At 48.1% G+C, this 27,999-nt stretch overlaps 2 protein-coding genes across 15 annotated transcripts in view, besides 3 other annotated features; one reads left to right on the top strand and one right to left on the bottom strand.

Annotated features, from left to right (window-relative positions):
• On the top strand, window positions 4-26,419 carry ELAC2 (elaC ribonuclease Z 2). Of its 5 annotated transcripts, none has more exons than NM_173717.2 (24): window positions 4-328; window positions 910-960; window positions 1,099-1,169; window positions 2,199-2,263; window positions 3,535-3,592; window positions 4,756-4,824; window positions 6,249-6,368; window positions 7,360-7,418; window positions 12,052-12,110; window positions 12,206-12,278; window positions 12,930-13,042; window positions 14,457-14,552; window positions 15,452-15,590; window positions 15,675-15,757; window positions 17,757-17,875; window positions 19,523-19,619; window positions 21,346-21,484; window positions 22,053-22,091; window positions 22,219-22,328; window positions 22,969-23,068; window positions 23,147-23,267; window positions 23,528-23,606; window positions 24,200-24,344; window positions 24,986-26,419. In NM_173717.2, the coding sequence occupies exons 1-24, from the start codon at window positions 84-86 to the stop codon at window positions 25,211-25,213; spliced, it is 2,478 nt and encodes an 825-aa protein (NP_776065.1). In that variant the 5' UTR covers window positions 4-83; the 3' UTR covers window positions 25,214-26,419. The 5 variants fall into 5 exon arrangements, with proteins under 5 accessions (NP_776065.1, NP_060597.4, NP_001159434.1 ...); NM_018127.7 differs by having other exon boundaries at window positions 15,672-15,757; XM_024450861.2 differs by lacking the exon at window positions 4-328 and adding an exon at window positions 367-449 and having other exon boundaries at window positions 15,672-15,757.
• Window positions 188-688: an enhancer, noted in NCBI's record as "H3K27ac hESC enhancer chr17:12920660-12921160 (GRCh37/hg19 assembly coordinates)". NCBI's record gives its function as "activates a minimal SCP1, AML or CMV promoter by ChIP-STARR-seq in naive H9 embryonic stem cells {active_cell/tissue: H9 hESC(naive)}" and the evidence as "EXISTENCE:reporter gene assay evidence [ECO:0000049][PMID:30033119]".
• Window positions 487-546: an enhancer, noted in NCBI's record as "active region_11741". NCBI's record gives its function as "activates an Ori minimal core promoter by ATAC-STARR-seq in GM12878 lymphoblastoid cells {active_cell/tissue: GM12878}" and the evidence as "EXISTENCE:reporter gene assay evidence [ECO:0000049][PMID:35858748]".
• Window positions 567-676: an enhancer, noted in NCBI's record as "active region_11740". NCBI's record gives its function as "activates an Ori minimal core promoter by ATAC-STARR-seq in GM12878 lymphoblastoid cells {active_cell/tissue: GM12878}" and the evidence as "EXISTENCE:reporter gene assay evidence [ECO:0000049][PMID:35858748]".
• The window catches only part of ARHGAP44 (Rho GTPase activating protein 44), a 202,146-nt gene continuing 200,534 nt past the window's right edge, over window positions 26,388-27,999 (bottom strand). For all 10 annotated transcript variants that reach the window (NR_135569.2, NM_001321167.2, NM_014859.6 and 7 more), the window contains one exon: window positions 26,388-27,999. Coding sequence is in view for 6 of the 10 variants with exons in the window: in NM_014859.6 (NP_055674.4) it covers window positions 27,860-27,999 (140 nt within the window). In the remaining 4 variants the exon portion in view is untranslated.

The raw sequence follows: 27,999 nt of genomic DNA, 5'->3' as shown, positions 1-27,999 counted from the left end.
GCCATGCGGAGCGGCTAGGTGGTGCACGGGAAACGCGGGCGTAGGTGACCGGCGGCTTTCTCAGTTTTGGTGGAGACGGGCGCATGTGGGCGCTTTGCTCGCTGCTGCGGTCCGCGGCCGGACGCACCATGTCGCAGGGACGCACCATATCGCAGGCACCCGCCCGCCGCGAGCGGCCGCGCAAGGACCCGCTGCGGCACCTGCGCACGCGAGAGAAGCGCGGACCGTCGGGGTGCTCCGGCGGCCCAAACACCGTGTACCTGCAGGTGGTGGCAGCGGGTAGCCGGGACTCGGGCGCCGCGCTCTACGTCTTCTCCGAGTTCAACCGGTCAGTCAACGAGCCACGCCCCGTCCCGCTGGGCCCTCAGTGCGGCGCAGCCTCTGAGCATCGGGGCACCTCCCAGGGCTTCGGCTTCCCTGCTTCACACATGTGGTTCACTGTTGCGGGGGTTCGTGGAGTTATGGTGGGTGGGAAATCCGAGATTCTTTGCATCCATGTGATTTCTGCGGATCTGTGAAGAACTTCAGGCCTGGGTCTGAGCGTCCTTTTCCCAACCCTTGGGCCCCGGCCTGGCTGTCAGCACTTTCGGAGCTCCACCCTCTTCCGTGCACCCCAAGGCCAGTGTGTCGTTGTTAGCGTGTGGGGTGGACAGATCTGGTGTGTAGCCGGTGGTGGAGAAAGGACTCATTTTGTCCTAGCACCCACACACACAGGCCCCCACTCCTCTCCACCTCTGCTAAGGAGGGCTCAAAACCCACCAGCATAAATGTGGCTCGGTAGTCCAACGTGGACTTTTAATTTTTTTTTCTTTTTTTTTTTTCCAGAGTCTACAATAAAACATCTAATTGGTGTCAGAGAGTTTACAGAATAAAACCTTCTGAATGTCTTGTGTAATGTTTGTCTTGTAGGTATCTCTTCAACTGTGGAGAAGGCGTTCAGAGACTCATGCAGGAGCACAAGTGAGTCAGTCTCTTGCTTTCGGAGGGGGAGTTGATTACGGGGCTTGAAAGCCGAAATGAGAGGCCAGTTGTTTTTTATAGCAAAAGTGGTCCTTGTTCTGTTCATGTTATCCTGTTTAAATGTTTTTTCATTCTTAGGTTAAAGGTTGCTCGCCTGGACAACATATTCCTGACACGAATGCACTGGTCTAATGTTGGGGGCTTAAGTGGTGAGTATATTCTTTGCAGTGTCAGAGGCTGGTGGGAAGTCTCTGGGATTTTAACCGGCTTTACCATTTTTCCAAGTCTGGGGTGGGCAGCTACTTTTTTTTTTTTTTTTTTTTTTGTCAGTGGCGTGATCTTGGCTCACTGCAACCTTTGCCTTCTGGGCTCAGGTGATCCCCTCACCTCAGCCTCCCAAATAGCTGGGACCACACGTGTGCCCCATCACACCTGGCTAATTTTTTTTGTATGTTTTGTAGCGACGGGGTTTTGCTATGTTGCCCAGGCTGGTCTCAAACTTCTGCGATCCTCCTGTCTCGGCCTCCCAGAGTGCTGGGATTACAGGCATGAGCCACCGCACCTGGCCTGGAATTCTTTTTATACCAGCCCAGTCAGCAGCAGCACAGAGCATTAAAAGCTGTGACTCAGGAGAACAGATTTTAATATGGATACCACCTCTTAAGTGTTACCATCCACTTAGTTTCTTGCGTTGCGGGGACAGAGATTTGTGGCAGTAAACTGGAGAGTCTAGCAGTGGTGATTACAGTTAATATGTTTACCGCAGACGCCATTGGCACATTGGCAGCCACACACATACCCACTGTCCAGATTACCCTGTCATTTATGTCTATCAACCGGAAGGTCAGGATTGTGTTGCAGCCAAATTGTGTGGGCTTGGTGGCATGGACCGGAAGGAGTGAAGTGTTAGACCAGTCTCCCTTCTCAGGGCTGAGACTAGGGTGAGGCACTTAGGGTGCCAGCCCTTCACTTGCATGATTCCTTACATTTTGCACACTGGGTGCCTTGCTGCTTCACCCTAGTGACAGCTCAGCCCATTCTAGAGGCATTTAAAGAATATTTGGTGTCTGTTACACCTCTAGCTGGCATCACTTCTGCTCTGTACATCTTCCCTGGTTGTACTTCCAAAGCTGGAAGGTGGAGATGTAGATAAATAGTTGGATTAGTACGGGGTGCTCCTCCTGTTAGTGACGACAGGTCAAATTGATGAGAGATCTGATTTTATGCATCCTTTTTAGGAATGATTCTTACTTTAAAGGAAACCGGGCTTCCAAAGTGTGTACTTTCTGGACCTCCACAACTGGTGAGTCTTTCCTGACACATCTTTCAAAAGCAATCTTTCCTTTTGTAATATCAGTAACAAGAATTTTCCTTTTTGCAAATCAGTCTTCTGCCCTCCAGAGATACCTGGTCGTTGAAACGCTTCCCCTTTCAAGTTAAAAAGACTTGAGTTCTGATTAACTATGTGACCTTGATCAAGTTACTTTACCTTTCTGAGCTTTAGTTTATTCATCTATAAGATGACTATCACGTTTCATAGAGTTGTTAAAGATTAAATGACGTAGCAGCACATATAAAGCACTAAATCACTTTATTAGATATATGTTTGGCACCAAGTAGGCACACAAGAAAGGGCAGCTTTTGTTTTTATTCAATAAATTTCTGACATCTTCTTACCTTTCAGTCCAGCTTATTACACTCTTGAGAAGGCGTGTGTGTGTTGTTGAATATAACAGTTCATTTTCCAGTCCTTAAGAAGAAAGTCACCAAGACCTGTTAAGTCTTTCCCCAAAATAACGTTTGAAATCCATCCATTTGTCTCTTATTGAGGCCTTCCTTATTTCTGTTTTCTATGCCTGTAAACTACAATAGCCTCCCATATTCATTCTCGCCTTCCTGTAATCCATCTGCCACACAGCAGCCAGAGAGGTCACTTCAAGACAGAAAAGTAGTGTGTCACTTGCCACCCTAAAGCCCTTCATGGGCTCCCCATTGCAATACAATCAAAACACCTTGATATGGCCTACAAGTCCTGTAGGCCCCGGCCGCTACCCACACTTCCATCTGTACCCATCGCTGAACTGCAGCTGCATGGGCTGACTCTTATGTCCCTCTAACTCCCTGGCCACTTCAGGACTTTCGCCCTTCCGCGGGTTCCCTCTGCCTCTTCTAATTGCTGCCTATATTGTTACTGAACCTTCAGGGCTCAGCTAGAGGGTCATTTACTCCAGAACTGCCTCTTCTTCTCTAGACAAGTTGGATCCCAGCCTTCTGTATTTTTCATTTTCCTTGCAGAGCACTTAGCATAATGCCACTAAGCTGTTTCTGTTATCGTGTTTCCTTTTGTCTCCTCCACTGGCCTGATTAGAGCAAGGCCTCCATCTCTTTTTCCTGCTATATCCTTGGCATCTGATATAATGGATACTCAGTAAATATTTGTAATAAATGATGTTCAAAATATTTACTAAGCTTTGTTTTATGTTGATACCTATTGGTAACCTTTTAAATACTTGAATAGTTGCTGTGTTCTACATTTGTTCAACCATAACTGCTCATTTCTTTGTTTTTCATTAGGAAAAATACCTCGAAGCAATCAAAATATTTTCTGGTCCATTGAAAGGAATAGAACTGGGTACGTCTTTGTCTGTGACTCATCCTCTGCTATTTCTAACTTATATATGCCCTGACCTCTCAAATTAGAATCCATTAAAAACATCAACATCAAACCTCAAAATCAAATGCTTCATCACCACGAGATTTTTTTTTTTTTTTTTTTTTTTGGATAGAGTCTTGCTTTCTTACCAGGCTGGAGTGCAGTGGCATGATCTCGGCTCACTGCAACCTCCACCTCCTGGGTTCAAGCCATTCTCCCACCTCAGCCTCCTGAGTAGCTAGGACTACAGGCGCATGCCATCACGCTCAGCTAATTTTTTGTATTTTTAGTAGAGACGGGGTTTCACCATGTTGGCCAGGATAGTCTCGATCTCTTGACCTTGTGATCTGCCCGCCTCAGCCTCCCAAAATGAGCTACCATGTGGCTGGAGATGGGATTTCTAAATAGTGACATTTTCTGTGTTCCCACCTCATGCTGTAAAAATAGGGGCCAGGTCGGCAGGAGTGATTGAACAGCTGATGCCTGCCTGTGTACATGCTGTGTGGCATTCTCCATCCAGACGGCAGGGCTCCTGCCTCAGTTCCAGAGGTGCTTCTCGTCGTTGAGTTGCTTTGAGTTGGGGGCGGGGGTGACAAGGGTTCCCTAGAGGTTTTGTGGCCAACTTTGTACATTGAAACGCAGCTCCAGCTGCGCAGGGGGGCTTACAGCCTCTTGATGGGAAGAGGCCTCACTGAGGATGCTAGTAGGGCTCTTGTCCTGGCACTGGTGTGTATCTGTGGCTTGTTAATACTCCTCTTTTATAGAAACACTAATACTTTGTTTCAAAATATACATCAGCTCTTCTGGTTTGCGATGATAGGTTCCCTGGCTTCACTATTCTGTTTGTTAACTTGGGTCTCTGAAAGTTGAGTACTAGTTTCTTGTTTTTCAATTTTTAACGGATAGTCACCAAAGATTATAATGTCTTTTCATCTGGCTGTAGTAAATATAAATGGCTGACCAAAATACACTTTTATTTATTTCCTAAAAATGGTAATCTCCTTAGAAAGTCTGGTTTTCGTGTCAGATTCCCACCATAATTCTGAGGCAATTCAGTTGCTCGTGGTTGGTGATCCTGAAGTTACTCTTCCCACACATCTTCACTAATGCAATCACTTTGCTGTTGTGTGGTTTTCTTGTAGCTGTGCGGCCCCACTCTGCCCCAGAATACGAGGATGAAACCATGACAGTTTACCAGATCCCCATACACAGTGAGTATGAAAGCCAGGTTTCCCAGGAGGAGGGTGTACGTCCTGAGTAAAGAAAACATGGATGAAAATAGAAACTGAACACTTGCTGTGGGCACCCTGTTTTGTGTTCTGAGCATGATTAGAAAATTTAGTTGAGGAATGAAGATATGGCTCCTGCCCTGGCTTATAAACTTACGGATGTCTGACTTATGCCTAATGATAGTGATTATGCTTTGGAATATTAGATAATCAAGCACTGTTGGTAAATAGATTGCATTCAAGTTTGCACATTCATTGCTTGGAGGTTTTTTCCCACAGGCGTAATACCCTCTTTTGATCAGACGATCATGAAGAGGTTTGCACAGATAGATTTTTTTAAATAAATAATGATTACAGCAACCTAAAAGAAGTGTTGTTGGGGGTTAGAAGCTCCTGCAAATTCCGAAGTATCAGGGCCAGATGATGTGGTCTTAGCTTAGGAAAAGAGTTAGTCTTGTCCTTGAACTTGGCTAAAGACATTCATGTCTGGTTTTACTTACATGTGAAGAGAGTACCAAGCAGTAGGGGTATTTCCTTGTTAGTACTAACTAATGTGATGCTTACTAAGTAGTGCTGATGGGTGACAGACCAGAGCACCCAGCAAAGGCCAGAGAAGTCCAGAACCTGGCGAGGAGATGAGGCTTACACTGACTGAAGGCAGAAGGCAGCAGGGAGGAGAGGAATGTGCCGGAGCAATGGCACAAGTGCTCCTAGGCCAGTGCTGTGATGAGCTGATCAGCACTCCCATTGCCTGGCTTGCTCCTCCTGCTCAGATGCCTTCTCTCACCTGACCCCTGCTGTAGCCACCCCCAGCCTGAGTTGCATCCACCTGTTTGTTGTCCATTTCCAGCACCCTGTTCTTCGCTCCATGGCATGTGACAGTTAACTTTCATATGTGATTTGCGTGATCGATGTTAACATGCTCAGTTTTGCCGATCACTGTTTTTTCAGTGTCCAGCGGCCCTCAGTGAGTGAACTTACGTTCATTCTCGTTGCAGCTGTGCTTTAGCTTCTTAGAGCAGCGAATTTTTTTCCCTTGATCTTGAGCCTTAACTAAATGTAAAATGAGGCTCCTTCTTGAGATAGGTACCCTTTGGGTCTATGTGTTTTAGCGGGAGTGATGATAATAAATAAGCATGTCTACAACCCACATGCTGTTTAGATAACACGTTGTTGAGTTGGTACTGTGGCCGAGGCTGTGAGCTAAGCAGAAACATAAACATTAATAGGACATAGGTGCAGCCCAGAAACCAGGTAGGAAGTTAACTAACTAGTTATTTCCTACTGTATAGTAAAAGGTGTGCTGATTTAATTGGCGTTCTGGCATTCCCATGTATGAACGTCTGGGCCTTGGCTGTCAGCTCACCTTGTGCAGTGTGTAATTTGGTGGTATCTGTACTGACCAGGTGAACAGAGGAGGGGAAAGCACCAACCATGGCAGAGTCCAGAAAGGCCTCTCAGCAGGCTCAGTCCAGAGCGATCTTCAGACTCCGAGTCGAATGAAAATGAGCCACACCTTCCACATGGTAATAGTATAAACAAAACAGAGCAGCAGAAAGGCTTGCGTTTTCTTAATTCTCTGCCTTGTAATGCTTGTAGAGAGTCATTATTGTAAGAAAGCCAGGTGTGTAAACAGATCCTTCTTCCTGGGCTTACTATAACTTGGCCCGTTGGGGGAATGAGAAGGGTTGTTGTAAAGGTGGCAGCCTGCAACTTTAATAATGACCAGTCCACAGTTTTGGCCACCCAGGGTCTGGGTAGGCCCAAAACTGTGTTCTGTTTTCCCAGAGGAGAACAGGGCCTGACAAACGGATTCATTTTGTATTTTTCATTAATGTAACATTTATGCAAATTTTCCATTAATGTGGAAACTATAACTGCTAAGCCAATGAGACAGTCAAATCAGTGAGAGGCTCTGCACGTCTTCCAGAATGACAGCCCACTGGGAAACGGAGTTAAAAGTCCAAGATGAGATGTAGCTCAGGAGTCAGGCCGCTTCGGGAGTTTGTTGTCCTTAACAGAAGGTCAGCGTTGGCAAAGCTCGGCAGCTCCTCTTTCTGTCCTGAGGTCTTGTCTAGTGACTGAGAACAGGCTGACCCCTATGTGCTGTCCTTGTTTGGATGGCACCGGGTAAAGACTGACACCAGCATTTTCTCTGCAGGCCTTTGAACTTTTGTGTTATTTCATATATTATATGTGTTATAAAGCACATTACAATATATTTTTCTCTGTCTTCTCCAGTCCTAGGTGAAATGTGTCATTTAAAAAAAATTTCACTTGCCATTCTAAAGTTTTTCTGGTGAGAGTTTTGTGTTTTTCATTTACGCAAACACATCTCCACATAAGTAGGGAAAAAAAGTCTTCTTGAGTATATTAGTGTCTTCAGCCTTTGTATTGGGACAGTAGCGTCCATTAATTTTTATGTGAAGTGAAATTAGGTATCGGGTCATAATCAGTCTGTGATGTCTTCACAGCTTTCACATTTACCTTGTGATAATCAAGTGTGTTTTTCCTCAGGTGTTAGCCAGAGAAGAGGGGTCAGGGACTCTTCCCTGGTCGTAGCTTTCATCTGTAAGGTAAGGAAGACTTTCCGGAGGGCTGTACATGACTGGGGTCTTGGTCAGCGACCTCTGGTTTGCACTTTTTCATTAATTTGAGGGTAGGCACTCCTGTTACCTGAGACAAGAAGAGATAGCAGATCTTCAGAAAAGCTGATGGAAGGCCGGGTGCAGTGGCTCACGCCTGTAATCCCAGCACTTTGGGAGTCCAAGGCAGGTGGATCACGAGGTCAGGAGTTTGAGAACAGCCTGACCAACGTGGTGAAACCCTGTCTGTACTAAAAATACAAAAATTAGCTGGGTGTGGTGGCGCATGCCTGTAATCCCAGCTACTTGAGAGGCCAAGGCAAGAGAATCGCTTGAACACAGGAGGCGGAGGTTGCAGTGAGTTGAGATTGCACCATTGCACTCCAGCCTGGGTGACAGAGCAAGACTCTCTCAAAGAAAAAAAAAATTCGATAGAAATGACACTGGCAATGAGCCTGCAACAAGTATTACTACTGACCTTTCATAATTGTCATCACTTGTAGGTTTCAGAGTTTAGATGCTCTGTTTCTCAAAATAACCCCATACTTTTATTTCCTTTTAAATTTTTTTCCAGTGCCCTGTCAGCCTCCGTACATTTTTTTTTTTTTTTTTTGAGACCATGTCTGTCTCCATCGCCTAGGCTGGAGTGTGCAGTGGCACAATCTCGGCTCACTGCAGCCTCCACCTCCCAGGTTCAAGTGATTCTCCTGCCTCAGCCTCCCAAGTAGCTAGGATTATAGGTGCGCGCCACCACACCCAGTTAATTTTTGTATTTTTAGTAGAGATGGGGTTTCACCATGTTGGCCAGGCTGGTTTCACTCCTGACCTCAGGTGATCCACCCACCTTGGCCTCCCAAAATGCTGGGATTACAGGCGTGAAGCACTGTGCCTGGTCCATATTCTTTTATATTTGCCAATGATTGGTCCTTTTAGAATTCAGAAATTATTGAAGGCAGCTGTGTTTGTTTTCCTTCAACTCCATCAGGCCTTTATTCAAAGTCTTTTAACTCTGTTTTACTTTATTTCATTCCCCTGCAATAGCTAAGGTCTAACACCAGATTAATTGGAATATTAGCTAGCATTCACAAAGGCCTAGATCTGTAACTCTGAAATTGGTCAAATTCCATTAAAAATTTTTGTTACAATAAGCTGTTTGTAAGATCTGACTAGTGGCTTATTTTTAATAGAATTTTGCATTAAAATTTTATCAATACAATTTGCAACAAATTTGTCTAAATATGTGAAAAGATTTCATTGCCTTTTTGTGGGCTTAGATTATTTTTTAATGTTGATTTTGAAATATATTTGGAATTGTTATCTAAATTCTAAAAGCTACAAGTGAAAATAATAATGAAAGTAAGTAGTTAATATTAGTGGCAAGATCATTGCCAGTATCATTTCTATCGATTTATTTGAATAATGTGATTTTCATAAAAGTTAAGTACTACTGTTAACAGGCTTATTACTTGTATGTTTCTGAGTTTTAGATAGCAAAATCATTTTTTAAAGTTTTAAAAATATTTTATTTTTGATAATCTATATTTATATTGTCTGATTTTTAAACTGTTTTCTATGGTAATCTTTAAATCGTATTCCTGCTTTCCGGAATAGGTAACAGTGAGCATGATGAAAAGTGACAAGCTCACTTTTACACACTCGGGCAGTTGCCCTATTATCAGGCAGCCGTTCCTGGGGGCTGCCAGCTGCCTGCCCTGGCTTTTCCATCTCCTTCCTTGCTGTCTTCTGCGGCTCCTTCTGAGGGCTGCTGTCACTGGATTAGCCTATAACGCCTTTCCCCTCTTCTAATTAATTTGCTGCTCTCAGGTGAGGTTTTGGAAAGCAATAAAGCTGAGCTAGGTCAAGTTCCAGGAGTCTCTTGGCATGAGGACCTGAAAAACTCATCTGTTGGAAGACCTCGGCTTTGGGCAGCTGGTGCACTGTTGGGGCGTTATTGGCTGCGTTCTGGCTCTCATCAGTCTTCCAGATACTCTGCATTCCTCAGAGAGGAACATATCTCCATGGGTTGAGTTCAGCTCCCAGGGAGATGGGTTTCCCTGCCTTAAGTCGGCAAGTACCTTTTTTTTTCTTTTTTTGAGACAGAGTCTCGCTCTGTCACCAGGCTGGAGTGCAGTGGTGCGATCTTGGCTCACTGCAACCTCTGCCTCCCAGGGTCAAGCAGTTCTCCTGCCTCAGCCTCCCGAGTAGCTGGGACTACAGGAGCGCACCACCATGCCCAGCTAATTTTTGTATTTTTTTAGTAGAGACGGGGTTTCACCATGTTGGCCAGGATGGTCTGGATCTCTTGATTTCCTGATCCGCCTGCCTTGGCCTCCCAAAGTGCTGGGATTACAGGCGTGAGCCATCATGACCAGCCTTTATGTTTCTTTGTTTGTTTTGTTTTTCTGAGATGGAGTCTCGCTCTGTTGCCCAGGCTGGAGTGCAGTGTTGCCATCTCGACTTACTGCAACCTCTGCCTTCCAGGTTCAAGTGATTCCTTGCCTCAGCCTCCCGTGTAGCTGGGATCACAGGTGCCTGCCACCATGCCCGGCTAATTTTTGTATTGTTAGTAGACACAGGGTTTCGCCATGTTGGCCAGGCTAGTCTCGAACTCCTGACCTCAAGTGATCTGCCTTCCTCAGCCTCCTAAAGTGCTGGGGTTACAGGAGTGAACCACCATGCCCAGCCTTCAATTACCTTTTATTTATTTTATTTATTTATTTATTTTTGAGACGGAGTCTTTCTGTGTTGCCCAGGCTGGAGTGCGGTGGCGCAATCTTAGCTCACTGCAACCTCCTCCTCCCAGGCTCAAGTGATTCTCATGCATCAGCTTCCCGAGTAGCTGGGACTTCAGGTGCCCGCCACCACACTTGGCTAATTTTTGTGTTTTTAGTAGAGACGGGGTTTCACCATGTTGGCCAGGCTGGTCTTGAATTTCTGACCTCAAATGATCCTCCTGCTTCAGCCTCCCAAAGTGCTGGGATTACAGGCGTGAGCCACTGCCCCCAACAGCAAGTACCTTTTAAACATTAGAGACATTTAGTTGCCATCCTCAAACCCGTTTGGGTGTGTGGAGAGAATGTTGGGTCGTGACATGGTTGTTAGTTATCTAAAGATGTCAGCCATCAATCATCACTGTGTGATGTGCACACTGAAGCTGTAATCCTTCATCTAGGATGATATTTTTTAAGATGGAAAATTCTACAACCCTGAGAATAAGGATTTCAGATCCAAATTTGAGACTCAGCCCTACGAGTAACTCTTTAACTTCAGAGAGTTAAAAGAAGATGCACAGTTGATGAAGATTTAAAGGAGAAAATGGAAATCAAATGTCATTTAGCACTCAAAGGCCTACATGTCATTTCTGACATTTTTCTGTTTGTGTGAAATTTTTTTTTTCCTATAAAATGATTGTGAAGTTTTCTGGTAGAATTATTGTTTGCCTTTCTAATGTAATAGCATATTAGGGTTTTTTTTTTTTTCTTTTTCTTTTTTTGAGACAGAGTCTCACTCTGTCGCCCAGGCTGGAGTGCAGTGGCACGATCTCGGGTCACTGCAATCTTCCGCCTCCTGGGTTCCTGCCTCAGCCTCCCGAGTAGCTGGGACTACAGGCGCACGTCACCACACCCGGCTAATTTTTTGTATTTTTAGTAGTGACAGGGATTCACCGTCTTAGCCAGGGTGGTCTTGATCTCCTGACCTCATGATCTACCCGCCTCGGCTTCCCAAAGTGCTGGGATTACAGGCATGAGCCGCTGTGCCTGGCTATTAGAGATTTTTTATTATAATTTATCTCCAAGATAAAAGCAGTGACATTATATTGCCACATAATTGAAAAATACAAGAGAAATAAAAATCATCCATGCTTTTGTTAGCCTATCACTGTCATTGAAATATTATGTTACATGGCAGTTTGCTTGCTGGTTGCTCTGTTAGGCAACGCTCTGGTGACATTCCTTTAGCTATTAATTGAGGAATGTAGAATGACAGAACAGTGTTTCTCCTCAATGATACTTGAAGGATATTTATTAACTTTCATATTGAATTACATTTTATTAAATTTATAATGAGTTAATGCTGGGAAATAAAACACTGATTTAAGTCATTTTGGCTTTTAGTACTAAAGCATTTGACAATAAATGACTTCTTCAGAATATGGTATACCTTCTGAAAGCAATAAACGCATTTTAATGAATTGTAAGGAAACAACATCATTTTATTTTTTATTTTTTTTTTTGAGACAGACTTTCGCTTTTGTTGCCTAGGCTGGAGTGCAATGGCGCGATCTCGGCTCACTGCAACATCCGCCTCTGGGTTCAAGCGATTCTCCTGCCTCAGCTTCCTGAGTTGCTGGGATTACAGGCACGTGCCACCACGCCTGGCCAATTTTGTATTTTTAGTAGAGACGGGGTTTCTCCACGTTGGTCAGGCTGGTCTCAAACTCCTGACCTCAGGTGATCTGCCCGCCTCAGCCTCCGAAAGTACTGGAATTACAGGCGTGAGCCACCGTGCCTGGCCAACATTATTATTTTTTTTTAATCTAGAAAAATACACTTCTAAGAAAATTGATTAAAACCAACCTTCTTCATTAGCCCCTAAGATCACATCTATGTTCTCTTTGTTGCAGCTTCACTTAAAGAGAGGAAACTTCTTGGTGCTCAAAGCAAAGGAGATGGGCCTCCCAGTGTGAGTGTGGGGGGTAAGGCTTCTGGGGACTCACTGGGTACACCTGTCCACTTAAGGAAATCACATTTCACAGAGGCCTTGCCTCTTCATTTCAGTGGGACAGCTGCCATCGCTCCCATCATTGCTGCTGTCAAGGACGGGAAAAGCATCACTCATGAAGGAAGAGAGGTGAGATGCCTGGTTTTCTTGATTCAGCAGTTACAGGTAGGGTCTGAAATGCTGGGCAGAGTCTGTCTTCTTCAGGCCCTACAGACACCACTTTTGAAGGACGTGGAACAGTTTGGACATCACTCAGCTAAGTGATAAAATGGCCTCTTTTATCTGTGTTTGTCCCGCATGTCAACACGGCTGCATTCGAGCATTTTTGTAGATTGTCCATTTAGGATCTAGTCACCGTCCTCCTTAAAGGGTGCATGCTTTCCTTGGTACTTGAGCTCAGGACAGTGTCTAACAACAGACCCCATATGGATGGGCCTGGGGTTTATGGTCCAGAGGAATGCCACAGTATTCTATGTCAAGATATTTCCTCTGACTTCTGAGGACATTAGGACCAGTGGCCACAGACTGAAGAAAACCTTAATGCCAAGCCTCCTTTCCTGGCCAGTGTAGGCCTGAAGTGCCTCAACCTGACAGTTACCTGTTTAGGTATCCACAAAGAGACCAGAAGGGTGTTGATGGTGATGTGTAAAGTTGGTTTTGTGCTTTGTTTACCTCTCAGCTCACTGGATAGGATATGTCATGTTAGCAGTTGCCTTGAAGGCAGTTCAGTTTGGTGGCTGAGCTGTGACCCCCAGTGGGCGGGCTTATTTGGTTTTGCAGATTTTGGCTGAAGAGCTGTGTACTCCTCCAGATCCTGGTGCTGCTTTTGTGGTGGTAGAATGTCCAGATGAAAGCTTCATTCAACCCATCTGTGAGAATGCCACCTTTCAGAGGTAATGAGGGGTCTCTAGGGTGGGAGAAGTGAGAGCTGAAACCCAGCCCAGCATCGACATGGGCATCTTGTGGCAAGAGCTGTGTTTCTGGGAAGACCACTATCTGGGTTTACAGTTCAGAGGCCGGCACTCCTGCCTTAAGTCACTGTTGGTAGTTGGTGGGCTCCGGTGTACACAGCCTCAAAGTGAAATTAGAAAAGATTGAAAACTAGAAACAACTGAGGACTAGAAATTCAACTAGAACTCTTACAGCTCTTATACCAGAAGAAATTCTAGAACTTTTTTGAATTCTAACTAATGCCCCAGATTATCATTTGGATTATTTTGAACTGAATTAATTTTCTTCCATTACCTGCATTGAAACAAATGAGGTGGGTCAGAGTGTGTGAGACTGTCGTGGTCAAGAGTCCGTGTTATGGGATGGACTCACAGCTGGGGAATGTCTTTTGGGCTAACTGCCACTCTGTTGTTGTCCTCTATCGAAGTTAACCAGTTTTGCGGTTCAGCTTTCATTCCAGATGGAATCATCTTTGACCCACCTATCTGAGTTTGAATCTTTTCCCCCACTCTTAATGGTTTACCTGTATTTTTCCTGTTCCTAGTTTGTATCTATCTGTATTTTTTCACTTGTTTTTTTCTACTTACCACAACAAATCCTTTTGGGCTGCTGTACCCCTTCCGAGTCAGAGCGTTAGGAGTTGTTTCATGGTCTGCTTTATTCTCTGTGGGTGAATTTGGATGCGCTGGTAGCCCCGGCTTTGTATTTTAATCCAGTTTTGGGCAGCAAAACCTCTTCAATGAATCAGGTGTCATTTGAGAGCCATGTGTGGATGTGTGATGATGCTGGGATAGATAAAAATAGCTACTGTGTATATTTCTTTTTAAAGGGAACTGGAGGGAAACACATCAGCATGTTAGTAAGTGGTCTGTTGTCCAGGTGGTGAAATTTCAGATGATTTTCATTTCTCGTGCCTGTGTCTCAGGTCCTCTGGAAGGCAGACACCAGGGTGGCATTGGAGGTGCAGGAGGTTTATTCGAGGAAATTTGACTGTGAGAGAGGAAGGAGAGAGGGAGCAGGAGGAGGCAGGGAGAGCCTGGGTCTGGCTTTGCAGGTTGGACCCGTATGAGTGGAGAGGGTAGGAAGGAAGTGCAGTGCTGAGAAAGGATCAGCCAGGCCTACTGGAAAGCCCAGAGCAGAGCTTGCCAGATACAGGAATCCCACGTCCATTGGAAATGGCCCAGCACCGGGGTCTGCCGTGAGCAGCCTGCTGTGAGAGCATGGCCTGGGCGTGGAGGCTGTCAGCTCACTGCAGTGCTGCAGAGGGCCGCACGATACCCCTCCCTGGCTGCGTGGTCCCTGTCTTGGTGTGTCCTGAGTCTGCATCACTTTGTAAAGCCCCACTCTTCTGCCCAGGTACCAAGGAAAGGCAGATGCCCCCGTGGCCTTGGTGGTTCACATGGCCCCAGCATCTGTGCTTGTGGACAGCAGGTACCAGCAGTGGATGGAGAGGTATGGAGCCCAGCCCAGCGGCACTTGGGGTAACTCTTCTGGGCAGTGGTGGATTCCCCTTTCCTCCCCTCGTGCTCTTTCCAGCGCTACCTACCCTTCTGCACCTGCCTAAACTTTCTGTGGGATTCCTGCCTTCCCAGAATTCTAGGCTTCCCAGATCTGTGCTACACTCGTGAAGAAAATGCACCGCTAGGTGGCGCAGTGTCCACACGATTCCATTTATTTTACACCCTCCACACTCTTCAGGGTGTCTGAACAAATACTGCCGTTTGGTTGAGGATTCCATAAGTGAATTCCAAAGAAGAGATTGCAGCTATAAAATGATAGCTTCCATTTACTGAATGCCCACTTTGTGGGAGGCAGTGTGTGAAATACCCTTCATTTCACTTCATTTCCTCTAGGGTCGTCGCCAGCAGCCCTGGGAGGTAGATGTTTAGTCACTGGAAGGCATCTTTTTCCTCGGGGCATCGCTGGCCAGGGCCAGGTGGAGGAGTATGAGTTGAGCTCGGGTGCGGGGTGACCTTGGGCTGCTTTTTGGCCCCTGCCCGTATCTCCCCACATGGCCCGTTTACCTGCCCCTCACTCCATGGCCTGCTCTCCTGCTGTCTCTTTCATTCCTCAGGGTTTGGGTCCCCTATTTGTATGCCCTGGACATCTTCTTTTTCTTGTTTTTCCTCTCACTCTTCCCAGCACACCTGAAAGGCAGCTGAGCTAGGGAACACCGGGCTTTGAGACAGCAGGAGTGGGACCATGTTTGGCCATGTAGTAACACTGCTTGGGGCAAGTCACTGAACTGTTTGAACACCTCATCCTCATTACCACTCCTGAGCTCAGCACCACTCCTCAGGGGGAGCTGCCTCCTAACAGACGCTGCAAATGCCGGGTCTGTTTCTTCACAGGTTTGGGCCTGACACCCAGCACTTGGTCCTGAATGAGAACTGTGCCTCAGTTCACAACCTTCGCAGCCACAAGATTCAAACCCAGCTCAACCTCATCCACCCGGACATCTTCCCCCTGCTCACCAGTTTCCGCTGTAAGGTAGTGTCTCAGACCGGCCCCTTGTCGGCCCAGCTCTCGTCCCCTCTCTTTCTCTCCATGAATGTGTTTTGTCTCTTTCAGAAGGAGGGCCCCACCCTCAGTGTGCCCATGGTTCAGGGTGAATGCCTCCTCAAGTACCAGCTCCGTCCCAGGAGGGAGTGGCAGAGGTCTGTGCCATCTTGAACTAATGGAATCGTCTCAGTCGAGTTGGGAAACATTTCTGTAAATAGCCACATAGTAAATGTTCCAGGAGGCTCTCCAGACCATATGGTCTCTGTTGTAACTATTCAACTCCGCTTTGAGCACAAAAGAAACACGGACAATAAGCTAATGAATGGGCTTGGCTGTGTGCCAGCGTGAATTTATTTAGAAAAGCAGCCTACTCCAGGCTGGGTTGAGGTGGGCGGATTGGGGCCAGTAGTTCTCCTTTTCCAAAATTGCCTTGCATGGGAATAGCAGTGATAGAGCTCGTGTGTTTCACAGTATAGAAAATAGGAAATGTGTGATGAACAAAGTCACCCATAATCCTGTTGCCCAGAGATAATGATTGATAACATTTTGTGTTTCTTGATTTGTGTATGTGGGTTTATATTGTCAGTCTTTTCCTGTATCACTAAACAGTCTTAAGTAACAAGATTTTTATTGGTATTCCAAATAGGGATGTTTACTCATTTGGGATGTTTCCAATTTTTTGTTGTTTTTAATGAATGAAACAATAAATGTCTTATATATAAATCTTTGATGGGAACTCTGTTCCCTTCAAGTCATTCCTAAATGTGGGATTACTGGCCCAGAGTGTGAGACTTGTTAAGGTACTTGATAAATGTAAGATGCCATCTTGAAAGCCTCTTCCAGTACAATCCAACCAGGAAAGTGAACAGCCTTACTGCCCCACATCTTTATTTTAATTAATTAATTTATTTATTTTATTTATTTATTTATTTTTTTGAGACGGAGTTTCACTCTTGTTGCCCAGGCTGGAGTGCAATGGCGTGATCTCAGCTCACTGCAACCTCCGCCTCCCGGGTTCAAGCATTTCTCCTGCCCCAGCCTCCCGAATAGCTGGAATTACAGGCGCCTGCTACCACGCCCGGCTAATTTTTTGTAATTTTAGCAGAGACGGGTTTCACCATGTTGGCAGGCTGGTCTCGAACTCCTGACCTCAGGTGATCCACCCACCTCAGCCTCCCAAAGTGTTGGGATTACAGGCGTGAGCCGTGCCCGGCCTGTTTTAATTTTTAAGGATCTGAACCTTGATTTTAAGTTTCCTGCCCACTCCACAGTATTTGTATTAGAATAGAGCATGTGCTGGATTATGACTGGATGCTGTGTGCTGTTGAGGTTGGGTAGTTGGGGCCCTTTAAGAGACTATACTAGCAAGACTCGGGCCCACAGGCAACATCACGGGGTTGAAGAACCTGGTGTCCCTTTGTTGGCATCTGCGCAGGCTCTTAACACACAGCAGCGATACACAGCCCTAGCCGACATTCAGATTTACCTTGTGCTTGTGAAAAATATTGCACAGGGCCTGCCCTAGACCTAGTGAATTAGAATCTTGAGAGTTAGGCTTGGGACTCACAAGCTCCCAGATGATTTTAATGCTCAGCGAGGTTGAAGAGCCGCCTGTCCAAGGAGTTGCCACTCCGTGTGATCTGGGGCTTGCTAGGAAAGTGGGATCTCAGGCCTCACTGCAGAGCTGCCGAACTGGCTTCTGCGTTTTGCCAAGGTTCCTGGGTGTGAACATGAGTTTCAGAGTCACTCCTCTAGGGCCCCTGCTTCTCAGCTCGGACCATTGACCCCTCAGAGGACATTTGGCAACATCTGGAAACGTTCTTGGTTGTCACAGCCTAGGAGGTGGGTAGTGGTGCTGCTAGTGGGTAGAGGTCAGGGGTACTGCACCAGGACAGCAGCACTGGCCACAGAAAAAAACTGTCTTGCCCTGAGCATCAGTAGTTCCCCGTTGACTGGCCCTGAGGCAGAGCGATGCAGCATCCAAAAGGCGGTGGAGCAGACCTGCCCCAGATCCTAGTCACTTAACCTTCAGTGTTGATCTGAAGGAACTTCCTGCAGATTGTCCCCCTGAATTTATTCTGGACATCCCCAATGGGGTCTGCTGAGGCCATATACCCTGTCCGTCACCTGAGATGCTTCTCTCTCTTCCTGCAGGGATGCCATTATTACTTGCAATCCTGAGGAATTCATAGTTGAGGCGCTGCAGCTTCCCAACTTCCAGCAGAGCGTGCAGGAGTACAGGAGGAGTGCGCAGGACGGCCCAGCCCCAGCAGGTGAGTGGGAGCCCACAGAGCAGCCTTTCTTTCCTGGGCTCTGCCCCTGCTGCTGTTTTCCTAGCATTAAGTGGAGTGCTGGTGGGGCGCATTCTAACCTGGCTTTTCAGTCTAATCCAGGGCTTCTCTACTCAGCTCTACATTAGAATTATAGTCATTGGAGGAGGGGGCTTTGGGGAGTTTAAGAATCCCAATTCCTGGCTGGGCGCGGTGGCTCACACCTGTAATCCCAGCACTTCGGGAGGCCGAGGCAGGTGGATCGCGAGGTCGGGAGATCGAGACCATCCTGGCTAACATGATGAAACCCCGTCTCTACTAAAAATACAAAAATTAGCTGGGCGTGGCGGCGGGCGCCTGTAGTCCCAGCTACTCGGGAGACTGAGGCAGGAGAATGGCGAGAACCCGGGAGGCGGAGCTTGCAGTGAGCCAAGGTCGTGCCACTGCGCTCCAGCCTGGACGACAGAGTGAGACTCCGTCTCAAAAAAAAAAATCCCAATTCCTGTGCCCCATCCCACCCAATCAGAGCATTTGGCGATGGCACCCAGGCATTCTTGGCAAGGCACGCACTGAGTGAAACGTTTTAGTGAACACCTGTGGAAAGAGCTCTGAGCAGGGACTTGGCTGGCAGAGATCTAGTCCTGGCTTTGCGGATGCAAATCCATGGAGGATCTTGGCCACGTCACTCAACTGAGGCTGAGGGCCGGGCACAGGCTTTGGAACCATCGGGTCTCCCTGGATTTGAATCCTGACCCTGCCTCTTACCATCTTCACTGGAGACCTGGGCGTCTGAGCCTGTTTCCCCCTTGGGAAGCAGAGCATTTCCTACCTGGTAGGGCTGGGAGGATGCGACCGAAGTGCATGGTCTTGCAGTGAGAGCTGGATGCAAGGCACACACTGTTCTCTTGAAATAAATGACAGTTCCCAGCATAAAGAAATGTCATTTTTTAAATGTAAAAGAATTACAGCAATTCTTTTGAAGAAAGGACTGGAGAATTTATTTGTTCTTCTTAGCCTTTTGGTGACAGATAGCCTGTGGGTCCCACACTGGTGCGAAGTCCTTTGTTTCAGAGCGGTTGCCAGGGGCCTGCCAGTCCCCCTCCTGGGAAGCTGGATAGAACTATGTTGCTTACCCATCTGTCTTAGTCTGTGTTTTGTTATTATAAAAGAATATGTGAGACTGGGTAATTTATCAAGAAAAGAGGTGTATTTAGTTCACGGTTCTGCGGGCTGAGAATTGAAGGTCACGGCCCTAGCTTCCAGTGAAGGCTTCCATGCTGCATCATAACGTGGCAGAGGAGCGCAAGTAGGAAGTGGACGCTTGTGAAGACGGGATAACCTGAGCTGCACTCTGGCTTTATAACAACCCCCCTCTCCTGGGAACAAATCCATTCCCTTGAGAAGTAATGCAGTCTCCTGAGAGCCAGTACTTACTACTGCAGCTCCAAGCCACTCAGGAGGGTCCGTCCCTGTAGCCCAAACGCCTTCCACTAGGCCCCGCCTCCCAAAACCGCCATACTAGGGAGCACGTTTCCACATGAGGTCTGGGGACAAACCAATGACACTCAAACCATTGCACCTTCTCATGGCTGCATGCTGGCTCACTTTTGACCCAAAGGAATGGATTGTTTCACATGGATTTTTTCACAGAGAAAAGAAGTCAGTACCCAGAAATCATCTTCCTTGGAACAGGGTCTGCCATCCCGATGAAGATTCGAAATGTCAGTGCCACACTTGTCAACATAAGGTATGCTGCTTTCCCAGGAAGCATCCTTCCATCAAGGGCACGTTTACTTTTTAAACAAAAGTCCTGCTGTACTCACCAGTCGATTTGAAATGCGGTATCAAGCCCTGTCACTTGTCATGTCGACTGGAGTGTCCAGGAGAGGAGCGTGGCCTTACTGCATTTTATAGCCTCAGTAGCAAACTTTACCCTGGGAATCACCAAAATTCATCCCATGATGTCTTTTAATAAACAGCTGATTTTACTGTGGGCAGTACACCTAGCTAAGAAATTAGCTCCTTTAATTTTTACATTAATCCTATGAAGTGGTGAATAACTACCCATTTTGTTGATGAGTGACCTGATATTCAGAGAGGTGACTTGCTATGGTTCCTACAGCTGGTAAGTGGGGCATCTGAAGTTTGAGCGGGGACTTGGGGTCTTGATTGCTACATGGTATTGTCCCCCAGCCATTTGTTGGTAGTATGTTAAAAAGCTTTAGGGTTTTGCACATTTGTGTTCAGAACCTTTATTGGATTCCCCTTGACATGTTTTTTAGTTGATTCTCTTGGGTTTGCCTGGGGTCATCAGCAGAGAGATTAGTCAAATGCGTTGTGACATGTACACGTTATCTCTACAGATAGTATGTGAAGAAAATAAGATTGTGAATTACCAGGTTTGTTTTAAATTTTGCTCTGCCATCTTACATGCTAGTGGTGGATGATAAACAACCAAATAGTGCATTAAATATATACAGCAGTGACGAGATGTGCCCTGACATCAGAAATATACAATCTGGGGTGTGTTTCTCTGTGGATGAGGACATGCAATAAAGCAGCTTGGAGTGAGCCGGCCTCTCCCGGGGGCTGAGATCCTGGGGGAAGAAGGGCTTTTTGAGTTTGACCTGACACCCTGCGAGCAGCTTTTGAACCAGCTGAAGCTAATGGGAAGGTGCTATTGCCACCTTGCCTCCGCCTCCCGACTCCTTTTTCCCCCAGAAGGTAATGTCTTAGCACCGGGGCTTCTCTCTGCAAAATGGGTGCAGCCCTCTCAGTGTTCGTGGCTCCTCCCAGAGAATGAAGGAGGCCAGAGCGGGTCAGCACTCTCTCTGCCTTGGAGCAGAGCTTCTGAAATGGACTGCACAGCAGAATAGCCCAAGAAGTTTGTCAGAATCCAGACTTCCAGAGCCCTGCCTAAAACCAAGTCAGAAACCCCGAGTGACACCTGGGAGTCTGCGTTAACTGGCTCCCTGAATGAAGCACCTGCAGCCCGCCCTGCACCAGGTGTCTTTGAGGACATGAGCTGAGGAAACCCCGACCACTTGCAAAGGGGGAAAAGTCCGATGGCAGCTGGACCTAGAAAGAGTCTCATATGGCCCAGTGCCTGTCCTGGTATTTTCAACAGAGGCTGTGGCCACAGTCAATCTGCATGGTCAGATTCATTGTTAGGACTAAATGCTTTAAGCCTCCTATAAACTTTTTTTTTTTTTTTTTGATGCCCAGCCTTTGTGTAAGTCTACTTGAAAGGGTTTCAGGGTTCCATGGATACTTCTTTGCTATAAAGAGGATGACACATGTAAAATCACCTTTATGGTTAAATTAATTGGCTTTTATATTAGCTCCTCAAAGCAAAGCAGGAGAGACAGAAATTTCTGCAGTTGCTTCTTGGTCCTGTCCAAAGCAGACATCAGCCTCTGAACCATCAGCAGTCTTCCTAGTGGCAGTGACTCTCTTCCTCTTCTCTTCTGCAGCCCCGACACGTCTCTGCTACTGGACTGTGGTGAGGGCACATTTGGGCAGCTGTGCCGTCATTACGGAGACCAGGTGGACAGGGTCCTGGGCACCCTGGCTGCTGTGTTTGTGTCCCACCTGCACGCAGATCACCACACGGTGAGTGTTGGGCTGGACCACAAAGCTGGAGCCTGGAGGAGGCACTGCCACGTTGAGTTGGCCCTTTGGCTGCGTCTTTTCCTCCGCTTCCAAACTTGCCCAGAGCTTTTGTTACTCATCTCTGGCTAGGAAATGGTTTTTTGCAAAACTCAACATAGTCCTTCTGCGCCACAAGAATGTCTTCTCTTCCTGTTCAGTTCCTTTCCTGCAGCAGGACAGGTTTGAGTTTACCCAGCCTTCCTTGAGTCTTGAATCTCACACGGCCTGCTCAGCGGAAGCTTTGACCGGATGCAGGAGGTGTGGCTATGAGACCCTCACCTTGGTCTCCTGGGGTGCCGGGCCCTGGGCCGTTGCCCTCTTCCCAGCACGGGTCGTGTCGCTTTCTGCCTGTGACATTTCAGGGCCATGGCGCAGGGGGCTCGGCCTGTGCCACCCCCACTGCGGCTGTGTTAGAGGCTGGTGGGTGACGTCGGGCTGGCAACTCCTGCAAGAGAGAGGGCTGCAGACCCTAACCCGGAGGGGATGGCCCTGGGGCCTGGCTGACGCATGTCTCCTGTTTCCTTGCCAGGGCTTGCCAAGTATCTTGCTGCAGAGAGAACGCGCCTTGGTAAGTGTGGCACTTGATGGGCGTTCTGAGTTTCAGCGGTTTACACATCATCCGCCATGCCTCTTGGCACTCCAGTTTTTATTGAGATGTTCTGTCGTCGAGTCGGCACTTGCATTTTTTGTTCCAGGCATCTTTGGGAAAGCCGCTTCACCCTTTGCTGGTGGTTGCCCCCAACCAGCTCAAAGCCTGGCTCCAGCAGTACCACAACCAGTGCCAGGAGGTCCTGCACCACATCAGGTGAGCATCCAGGGCAGCCTGGCCCGCTGGGCTGTTGCTTGCTGCCGTCTCCTTCAGAAGCTCAAGGTGGACACTGGGGTAGTTACCAATATCCCCCAGCAGCCTTGCCCTTGACATGGTCCCAGATGGCAGAAGCAGGGGAGAAGTGCATTGGCTGAAGGACAGAAACCATTAGATAGTTCCCATGTAATGCTTATTTTCTTAGAAGCATTTCTTCCCAGTCCTCATTTGAGTTCTGAGCTGCTTTCTAAACTTCGAGCAGCTTTTCTTGATGAGACAGTTCCAGAGCCAAGCACCCAAATAGTGGCTAGCACAGAGAATGTCCATAGCAGGTGTGTGGCTAGCTGGCAGGTGGCACCATCCTCACCCCAAGGGGAAGGAGTCCCCTCTGCTGGAGCCATCCGTGGCCCGTGCTGCCTGAGCCGGAGGCAGCATTCACCTGCTGGGTTTCTCCCAGTGGCCTAGAGGCTTTGGTTTGGCTCTTTATATTTGACTGCTGTTTCCTCATCATAGTGACTATGATTTAACTCATGTTTTCTCCTAAGAATGATTTTGGGGTTCTCCAGCCAAAGACTTAAACTTTGGTTCCAGATGTCCAAGAAACGTTTATTATCATTTTAAATGTTTTGTCTTTTTACAGTATGATTCCTGCCAAATGCCTTCAGGAAGGGGCTGAGATCTCCAGTCCTGCAGTGGAAAGATTGATCAGTTCGCTGTTGCGAACATGTGATTTGGAAGAGGTAAGGGGCACAGCCGCAGGCATCATGGGGGCGAGGTGGGGAGCAGAGCTGCAGAGCCCTCCAGCCCCACCCTTTCAGTTTCAGACCTGTCTGGTGCGGCACTGCAAGCATGCGTTTGGCTGTGCGCTGGTGCACACCTCTGGCTGGAAAGTGGTCTATTCCGGGGACACCATGCCCTGCGAGGCTCTGGTCCGGATGGGTGAGTAGAGGAAGAAGCAAGCCACCCTGAGGTTGCTCTGGGGTTTGTGTAGCTGGAGGTGAATGCAGGTGGGCTTGCAGGGAAACGTCAGCAGAGGCAGGAGACTCAGGTCCCCACCCTCAGAGTCTCTGGTTGTCATCCTAGTAGGCAGACCCAGGGCCAGGGGAGCTGAGTGTTGAGACCAGGAAACAGCACGTGACTGAGGCCTGTGTGCCGCTCTCGCAGAGAACTCTGCCCTGATCCTTGTGCTGCTTCTCCAGGGAAAGATGCCACCCTCCTGATACATGAAGCCACCCTGGAAGATGGTTTGGAAGAGGAAGCAGTGGAAAAGACACACAGGTAGCAAAGGCCGGTCAGTCCTTGTCGCCCACATCCTCTCCCTCCCCCACTACGTGACACTGAGCAGCCGTCGTTTGTCTCCACTGATGTGGGGCTGCCCTGCTTCCTATCAAGGGCTATGGGGGCTTCCTTGACCTGTGGCAGTGCTCACAGGCTCTTGGCCTTTATTTTTGCAGAATTTTCTAAGCAAGATTCTAGAGTGAGGCACAGTTTTTTGAAAGCATCTAGAAATCGGCTGAATAAACTATAAGCCATGTCAGGGAATTGCCAGGGGAAGGCGGGGGCTGGGGGACTGAATTTTTGGCTGCTAATTTCAACGAAAGAGTGCATTACCCCAGGTGGGCCCTGTGGTTTCTCTTGGGTGCCCTCATGGACAGATTTGGCAGCCAGCACAGAGGGTGGGCTTCATCCAGGGGTGTGTGCGAAGGCTCTGGCCCTCAGGGGAGATTGTGCTGGCTACGGAGGTGCCCGTTAAGAAAACCCACCAGCTTCCCCGGGTGCCCTGGCAGTTGATGGCCAGGGTCTGTGCCACTGTCTGCTTTGCAGTCTTGCAGTTGAGTTCAGCTTCAGTCTGCTCTGTCCTTCACCTGCAGCACAACGTCCCAAGCCATCAGCGTGGGGATGCGGATGAACGCGGAGTTCATTATGCTGAACCACTTCAGCCAGCGCTATGCCAAGGTCCCCCTCTTCAGCCCCAACTTCAGCGAGAAAGTGGGAGTTGCCTTTGACCACATGAAGGTCTGTATGTCACACGGACAGCACAGGGCGGGGACGGGGCAGGGAGACAGGACTCTACACACTGAGTAGGACGGTCAGCTGGAGTTTGCTTTCTTATTTGGGGCCACCGTGGGAAAAGGTTATCTACCCATCACTAACCAGGTCGAACCACCCTGGGTTTGCTGGTGAGACCCACCTCCTGCAGGGGCCAACTAGTCTTCAGTCTCAGTTCACTGGAAATTTCTGAGAATCCTTTTAGGCCTGGACTGCTCACACAGTCATGGCATTTGAGCCTCAGCACAGACCTGTGAGACAGGTGGTTGCCTCTTGTGAGTGGGAAAGCCAGGCCTGACCCTTGGCCTTCCGGAATGAAGGGGCAGAGCCGGAGCCAGGCCTCGTTTTTCAGGAGCTTGATTTTGAGAGCATCTGGACTGCTCTCCCTTCCCTCTCCGGAGGCCCTTAGCCAGGCCTGGGGAGCCTCTGCCCCTTTAGAGGGTTCCCTCCATGCCATTCTTTTTTCCATTTCAGCTGTGGCCTGTTGGCTTGTGCCAAGGAAGGGGCGTTGGCGCTGCTGTGTGAGCACATGACTGCATCCCTTCCAGCTCCTGTCCCCCACCCCTGCCCCTCTGAGACATGTCCTTGTCTTCTATTGTGTCTTCTAGGTCTGCTTTGGAGACTTTCCAACAATGCCCAAGCTGATTCCCCCACTGAAAGCCCTGTTTGCTGGCGACATCGAGGAGATGGAGGAGCGCAGGGAGAAGCGGGAGCTGCGGCAGGTGCGGGCGGCCCTCCTGTCCAGGGAGCTGGCAGGCGGCCTGGAGGATGGGGAGCCTCAGCAGAAGCGGGCCCACACAGAGGAGCCACAGGCCAAGAAGGTCAGAGCCCAGTGAAGATCTGGGAGACCCTGAACTCAGAAGGCTGTGTGTCTTCTGCCCCACGCACGCACCCGTATCTGCCCTCCTTGCTGGTAGAAGCTGAAGAGCACGGTCCCCCAGGAGGCAGCTCAGGATAGGTGGTATGGAGCTGTGCCGAGGCTTGGGCTCCCACATAAGCACTAGTCTATAGATGCCTCTTAGGACTGGTGCCTGGCACAGCCGCGGGCCAGGAGGCTGCCACACGGAAGCAAGCAGATGAACTAATTTCATTTCAAGGCAGTTTTTAAAGAAGTCTTGGAAACAGACGGCGGCACCTTTCCTCTAATCCAGCAAAGTGATTCCCTGCACACCAGAGACAAGCAGAGTAACAGGATCAGTGGGTCTAAGTGTCCGAGACTTAACGAAAATAGTATTTCAGCTGCAATAAAGATTGAGTTTGCAATTGTGAGTTCTTTTGCTTCCTCCTGCTGCTGCTACAGAGCAGGGTCTGCTGTGCACCACCTTGGAGAAGGCTCTCTGTGCTGTAGTGTGGCAGCTGCCTGGTACCCGGGTGGCTTGGAAGAAGTCAGCTCCCGTCGTAGTGAGCACCTCTGGAACCTGTCCTCAGAGAGCCACCCTTATTCGCCAAGTCTTTTTGACAACTCGAGCTGTGCCAGCTCACAGCAGGGCGTGCTTTCTCTATCAATCAATCAATCAATCAATCAAATCAATCAGTGAGAGCCTGGCTGGGCTGGTGTCATTGGTCAGGGAAATGCAAGTCTTCTGGTGGTTCTGGGTAAAAGTGGAGACAATAGATTTGCTGTGTTGTTGCTTCCATACTGAGAGGAGTGAGGATCACTTTGCCCTCGAAGGTTTTGAGAAATGGCACACGGGGCTGGTTTCCATTGTCCTCCTTGCGGGATTTACAGACGTGGATTAGTGCTCGACAAATGGAGAGCATTTTCCAAGGAAGTAAGTAAGTAAAGTAAGTAAGTAAGTAAGTAAGTTGAATCTAGTATTTATTGTGTATATTCCCTACCCAGGAGAATGTAAAAAGAAGAGCTTTAAAAACTCAAAAGACAAGCAAGCGAGAGATCAGCCAGGGACCTGGCTTTACACAGGTGGTGACCTTCAGGCTCCATCCCGGTGTGCATTTGAGATTGACGGCCATGTCCCCGCAGGTTTATTAAAGCAAGAACAGATGCCAAGCTCAGGGATAATAAATCTATTTTAATAACGTTACTTTTGACAACGATTTGTACATGTATTTAAAGATAACAACTTTCAACCCCCACCCTTACCCCAGACTCCCATTACAAATTGAGGCATGACCTGCCCTTGCCAGGAAGTGAGCAAAGCTGCAACATCAAAACTCTGCACATCCCACTCTCAGAGGAGGGTGACTTTACACTGTGTTGGGAAAAATAACTAAGCATTTAAATTTTTCATTGTACACCTGTACATTGGTTTAGATTGAATGGCTCAAATTAAACAAATATAGAGAGATTTCATATATACAAATATTATATCATGTATAGGTATATTATATCATCTATTTGAAAAGGATAAAATTTTAAACTTTGACTTTGCATGCATGGCCCAAATCTTTTCTCACTCCCCTAATCCCCAAGTGTGAAAAGGCTACCCGGTGCCCTCCCGGCCCTCGTCCCCATGACCAGATGGGACTTCATGAGAAGGAAATGAGCGGCTGACGCTGGTGAGCAAAGCAGGCCACACCGCAGGCCGAGCCCGTGGGCCAGCGTCTCCGTGGCTGGTTTCACTTTTCCTCCACATGCTTTGGGTAACGTAATTATTGCTATTCAGTTTGAACCTCCAGAAAGAAGAGACAGGCTCCAGGACCCCACAGACTAGTGAACTGGGTGCCTTTAGGTACGTAGAGGGGTAAAATTACTCTCATATAGCCAATATATTTGGGGACAGGGAGGCCACCTTTGGCTCCTCCAGACACTGTCAGGCTTGTTTGTTTTGTTTTATAGATTCAGAAATATAAAATGATATAGGAGCTTTCAGTCACACAGTGGAAAAAGGAAAACTGTTAGGAAGTGAAACATTTTTGTTTTCAGCCATTTACTTTGGAGCCCACTGATGGGGGCGGCCTGAAAGGTTTTCCAGTGGCAAGCCCTCCCCCAGGTAGCTGGCAAAGGTCAGTGCCCCAGGACTGCTAGAATCCTGGACCTGGTCCAGTTGTGGGTGAGAGGGGCCCTGCTGTCCTGCTTCCTTTCTGTGGCCATTAAACTGATCCTGCAAGACCTGACATGAGCCGTCCAAGGAAAAGGTAGCAGCCCTTGGGTCTAACCAGGCAAAGTGAGCCTCTCCCGCACCACCCCGACCCTGCAAAGGACGTTCCTGACCAGCCTTGGATGGAGAGGTGGGTGTTTTCTGGCATGGAGGCTGAAAGTGGATCAAAAGAGGCACAAAGTCAAAAGGCAAAGGTCAAACAAAAGGCCGAAGTCACCACCCGAAAGGAACAAACAAAACCTGCACCACCAGCATCACCACACGGACTGGAGATCACAATTTTCTGCCAAATTCCAACCTCGTGTTGGCAGTGGCAGGAAAGAGCCAGCAGAGAACACTTGGCAAGCTCATGGACGCTGCTCCTGGCGGCGTTCCTAGGGCCCGTGATGTATGTACACGCGAGGCAGGATGGGCGGTGTCATGTCAGAGGGCGGTGCTCTCAGACTCCTCCTCCGAGTCCCTCTTGTCAGTTACTGAGTGTCGCCGCATGTGCTCCAGGGGACTCAGGCGGAGCGTCGACCCGAGCTCTATGTGGATCGAGGGAATATCAAAGTGGACAAGAT

Source organism: Homo sapiens, chromosome 17 (genome assembly GCF_000001405.40).
Source record: "Homo sapiens chromosome 17, GRCh38.p14 Primary Assembly".
In the NCBI taxonomy this organism is placed as follows: Eukaryota; Metazoa; Chordata; class Mammalia; order Primates; family Hominidae; genus Homo; species Homo sapiens.
Note: the sequence above shows the minus strand (reverse complement) of the source record. Positions and strands in the feature narration are given on the sequence as shown.

Excerpts from the sequence above, each read along its gene's own strand:
- ELAC2 (NM_018127.7), top strand. The coding sequence starts at position 84 with ATGTGGGCGCTTTGCTCGCTGCTGCGGTCCGCGGCCGGACGCACCATG. Across the intron at positions 15,591-15,671 it reads TCACCAGTTTCCGCTGTAAG|AAGGAGGGCCCCACCCTCAG; the intron begins GTAGTGTCTCAG and ends TGTCTCTTTCAG. Across the intron at positions 23,268-23,527 it reads CGAGGCTCTGGTCCGGATGG|GGAAAGATGCCACCCTCCTG; the intron begins GTGAGTAGAGGA and ends CTGCTTCTCCAG.